This window comes from Homo sapiens, chromosome 19 (assembly GCF_000001405.40).
Source record: "Homo sapiens chromosome 19, GRCh38.p14 Primary Assembly".
In the NCBI taxonomy this organism is placed as follows: domain Eukaryota; kingdom Metazoa; phylum Chordata; class Mammalia; order Primates; family Hominidae; genus Homo; species Homo sapiens.
This window is the reverse complement of record NC_000019.10, coordinates 9,601,714-9,607,328: the sequence shown is the minus strand read 5'-3', so window position 1 is coordinate 9,607,328 and position 5,615 is coordinate 9,601,714.

Genomic DNA, 5,615 nt, shown 5'->3' with positions numbered 1-5,615 from the left:
TGATGTGGTGATGCATGTCTATAGTTCTAGCTACTTGGGAGGATGGCCTGAACCCAGGGGTTCTAGACCAGCTTAGACAACATAGCAAGACCACATCTCAAAAAACAAAAAACAAAACGAATGAATGAATGCATGGAAGGACTCATCTCTAAAATAAATGTGGTCAGGTTGGGTGTGGTGGCTCATGCCTGTAATACCAGCACTTTGGGAGGCAGGGATGGGCAGATCACTTGAGGTCAGGAGTTCGAGACCAGCCTGGCCAACATGGTGAAGCCCCATCTCTACTAAAAATACAGAAATTAGCTGGGTGTGGTTGTGTGCACCTGGAATTCCAGCTACGCAGGAGGCTGAAGCAGGAGAATCGCTTGAACCTGGGAGGTGGAGGTTGCATTAAGTGTAGATTGTGCCACTGCACTCCAGCCTTGGTGACAGAGTGAGACTCCATCAGAAATAAAATAAAATAAATGTGTTTTTGTATTTATTACATTTCTAGTGTTACATCAACCTTGCATTCCTGGATAAGCCCAACTGAGACATAATGGATCATTTTAAAAGACTATTTGATTACCTTTACTAATATGTTATGGAGCTATGTTTGAATAACTGCAATTTTTTTTTCTTCTTGTCCCTGAATGATTTTTTTTTTTTTTTTGAGACAGAGTCTGGCTCTGTGTCCAGGCTGGAGTGCAGTGGCACGATCTAGGCTCACTGCAACCTCCACCTCCCCGGTTCAAGCGATTCTCCTGCCTCAGCCTCCAAGGAGCTGGGACTACAGGCATGCACCACCACGCCCAGCTAATTTTTGTATTTTTAGTAGAGATGGAGTTTCACCATTTTGGCCAGGATGGTTTTGATGTCTTGACCTCGTGATCCAACTGCCTTGGCCTCCCAAAGTGCTGGGATTACAGGTGTGTGCCACTGCACCCGGCCCTGAATGATATTTACATGTAAATTATGACTGTCATATACTGTATTGGGGAATGTTCCTACTTTTTCTAAATTCTTTATCCATCTATATGCTATAAGAATCTAGGCTGGGAATAGTGGCTCAGGCCTGTAATCCCAGCACTTTGGAAGGCTTAGGCAAAAAGATCAGTTGAGCCCAGGAGTTCAAGGCCACCTTGGACATCATAGTGAGACTACATCTCTACTGAAAAATACTACGTGCTGGGCATGGTGGCTCACACCTGTAATCCCAGCACTTTGGGAGGTTGGGGTGGGCAGATCAAGAGGTGAGGAGTTGGAGACCAGGCTGGCCAATATGGTGAAACCGCATCTCTACTAAAAATACAAAAATTAGCGAGGCATGGTGGCACAAGCCTGTAATACAGCTACTTGGGAGGCTGAGGAGGAAGAATTGCCTGAACCCAGGAGGCGGAGGTTGCAGTGAGTTGAGATCGTGCCATTGCACTCCAGCTCTGGGTGACAGAGCAAGATTCCATCTCGAAAAAAAATAGTACAAAATATTTTAAAAAATAATAAAAGTTGTCTATTCTGGCTGATCATGGTGGCTCACACACATATTCCCAGCACTTTGGGAGGCTGGGTCAGGAGGATTGCTTGAGGCCAGGAGTTCAAGATCAGCCTGGGCAACATAGTGAGATTCCATCTCTACAAAAAAATAAGAGTTATCAAGCCGGATGTGGTGGCTCACGCCTGTAATCCCAGCACTTTTGGAGGATAGGCGGGTGGATCCCCTGAGGTCAGGAGTTTGAGACCATCCTGGCCAACATGGTGAAACTCCATCTCTACTAAAAATACAAAAAATTAGCTGGGCGTGGTAGCTGGCGCCTGTGATCCCAGCTACTCCAGAGGCTGAGACAGGAAAATCACTTGAACCCAGGAGGTGGACGTTGCAGTAAGCCAAGGTCGTGCCCCTGCACTTCAGCCTGGGCAACAGAGGAATACTCCATCTCAAACAAAACAAAACAAAACAAAACAAAACAAAACAAAACAAAGGCCTGGCACAGTGGCTCATGCCTGTAATTCCACTTTGGGAGGCCGAGGTGGGCAGATCACGAGGTCAAGAGGTTGAGACCATCCTGGCCAACATAGTGAAACTCTGTCTCTACTAAAAAATACAAAAATTAGCTAGGCCTGTTGGCGTGCACCTGTAATCCCAGCTACTCAGGAGGCTGAGGCTGGAGAATCACTTAAACGTGGAAGGCGGATGTTGCAGTGAGCCGATATCGTGCCACTGCACTCCAGCCTGGGTGACAGAGCGAGACTCCATCTCAAAAAAAAAAAAAAAAAAAAAAAGTACCCAGTCTCTGTTATTTCTTCATAGCAATATGAAAATGGACTAATACGTCAGAAGTTAGAATTTCAAGACCTACCAGGCATTTATTTCAGTGATTCTCAAAAGCCATCTTCAACAGAACCCCTTCCTTTCTCAGATTTCTTCCATTGGCTCCTGAACCTGGTTGGATGGACTGACAGAAGAGTGTTCTTGAAGCCCCCAGAGTGACTCTCCCCACCTGAAAGTAGGGACTCAGCCCTATCCAGAGTTGCAGAGGGCCAGAGAATTGACTGCTGTCTGGCGAGGCTGCCGTCTATCCCCCACTGCATTCTCTAGTCCGTCAGAGCAGAGGGTTTCATCTGTCCTCCACTGAGGCTGCAGTTTTACCCCTGAGAACAGGTGAATGTTCCCCTTTGGGGGAGGATGTGTCTGAAAGGGTCTTGAGTATTGCTGTGGGCAAACTCCACACATCATCCATAATGGTGAATGCACTAATACAAAGATACAAATCAGCCAGAACCAACCTTACATTCCTGGAGTAAATGCCACTGGGTTTACTACTTTCTTACCATGGCGTTGGAATTTGTTTGCTAATTTCTTTCTTTCCCTCCCTCTCTCTCTCTTTCTTTCATCTTTTTTTGTTTTTTGTTTTTTGTTTTTTTGTTTTTTTGAGACGGAGTTTCACTCTTGTTGCCCAGGCTGCAGTGCAATGGCGTGATCTCGGCTCACCACAACCTCGGCCTCCCAGGTTCAAGCGATTCTCCTGCTTCAGCCTCCTTAGTAGCTGGGATTACAGGCATGTGTCACTACGCCCAGCTAATTTTGTATTTTTAGTAGAGACGGGGTTTCTCCATGTTGGTCAGCCTGGTCTCGAACTTCCGACCTCAGGTGATCTGCCCACCTCGGCCTCTGAAGTGCTGGGATTACAGGCGTGAGCCACCGCACCCGGCTCTTTCTTTCTTTCTTTTTCTTCCTTCCTTCCTTCCTTCCTTTCTTTCTTTCTTTCTTTCTTTCTTTCTTTCTTTCTTTCTTTCTTTTTCTTTCTTTCCTTCCTTCCTTCCTTCTTTCTTTCCTCCTTTCCTTCCTTTCCTTCTTTCCTTTCCTTTCCCTTCCCTTCCCCTTCCTTCCTTCCTTTCTTTCTTTCTTTCTTCCTTTCCTTTCTTTCTCCTTCCTTCCTTCCTTCTTTCTTTCTTTTTCACCCTTCCTTCCCTCCCTCCCTCTCCTTTTCTTTCTTTCTTGCTTTCTTTTCTTTTCTTTCTTTCCTTCTTTCTTTCCCCTTCCTTTCTTCCTTCTCTTTCTTTCTTTCTTTCTTTCTTTCTTTCTTTCTTTCTTTCTTTCTTTCTCTCTCTCTCTCTTTCTTTCTTTCTTTCTCTCTCTCTCTCCCCCTCTCTCCCTCCCTCCCTCCCTCCCTCCCTTCGTTCCTTCCTTTCTTTTCTTCCCCCCTCCCCTCCCCCCCCTCCCTTCCCCTCTCATCTTGCTTTATCACCTAGGCTAGGTGCAGTGTTGCAGACACAGCTCACTGTAGCCCTGACCTCCTGGGCTCAAGCAATCTTCCCACCTCAGCCTCCCAAGTAGCTGGGAGTACAGGGGTGCTCTACCACACCCAGCTAATTTTTAAATTTTTTGTAGAGATAGTCGCTTGCTATGTTGCCCAGGCTGCTCTCAAACTCCTGGGCTCAAGCAATCCTGCCTCTATTATACTTAGTGCATTTTTTTTGTTTGTTTTTTGGTGTTTTTTTGCTTGTTTGTTTTGTTTGTTTGTTTGTTTTTAGATGGAGTCTTGCTCTGTCGCCAGGCTGGAGTACAGTGGCGCGATCTCGGCTCACTGCAACTTCTGCATCCTGGGTTCAAACAATTCTCCTGCCTCAGCCTCCCGAGTAGCTGGGACTACAGTCACGCGACACTACACCCAGCTAATTTTTGTATTTTTAGTAGAGATGGGGTTTCACCACGTTGGCCAGGATAGTCTCAATCTCTTGACCTCATGATCAGCCCGCCTTGGCCTCCCAAAGTGCTGGGATTACAGGCGTGAGCCACTGTGCCCGGCCTACTTAGTACATTTGTAGCAATATTCATTACTGATATGATTCTGCAGTTTTTAATGATTGTACTATTTTTATCAGTGATAGAAACAAGATATACATATATCTTGTACTGGCATCATAAAAAGCTTTAGCAAAATTTGCTTCATTTTTAATACTCTGAAAGGATTTATGGAGAATTAGGACCAACTGGACCTTGAAAATTTCATGTAATGTAAAAATGTCTGGGCTGGGAATGGTGGCTCATGCTTGTAATCTGAGCACTTTGGGAGGCTGAGAAGAGAGGATCATTCTAGCTCAAGAGTTTGAGAATAGCCTGGGCAATGGAGTGAGATACCATCTCTACCAAAAAAAAAAAACAAAAAAACTCTTGAGTTTAGGTGCTGTATTCCTTCCATTGCAACTACTAAGTACACTGAGCCAGGGGTATTACTTGAGGCCAGGCATTCAAGGCAATAGTGTACAACTATTACATATCAATTTTTTTTTAGTTGATCTCACTCTGTCATCCAGGCTGGAGTGCAGTGGCATGATCTTGGCTCACTGGACCCTTCACCTCCCCAGTTCAAATGATTCTCCTGCCTCAGCCTCCTGAGTAGCTGGGATTACAGGCATGTGCCACCTCGCCCAGCTAATTTATTTTATTTTATTGTATTTATTTATTTAACTTTTTTTTTTTTTTGAGGCAGAATCTCACTCTATCGCCCATGCTGGAGTGCAATCATGCGATCTGGGCTCACTGCAACCTCCTTCTCCTGGATTCAAGTGATTCTCCTGCCTCAGCCTCCTGAGTAGCTCAGATTACAGGTGTGCACCACCAAGTCCAGCTAATATTTGTATTTTTAGTTGACACAGGGTTTCACCATGTTGGTCAGGCTGGTCTTGAACTCCTGACCTTGTGATCCCCCCACCTCGGCCTCCCAAACTGCTGGGAGTATTACAGGTGTGAACCACTGCACCTGGCCTTTGCCCAGCTAATTTTTGTATTTTTAGTTGAGTTGGGGTGTTGCCATGTTGACTAGGCTGGTCTCAAACTCCTTACTTCAGGTGATCTGCCTGCCTTGGCCTCCCAAAATGCTAGGATTACAGGCATGAGCTACTGAGCCCAGCTTTACATATCAATTCTAAAAAGAGTTATACTTCTAAGACTTTGGTTTTTTTTTTTCTTCCTTTTTTCTGGGGGACAGGGTCTCACCCTGTCACCCAGGCTGGAGTGCCGTGACACAATTGTGGCTCACTACAACCTTGACCTCGTGAGCTCGGGTGATACTCCCACCTCAGACTCCCCAGTAGTTGGGACTGCAGGCATGCACGACCACACCTGGGTAATTTTT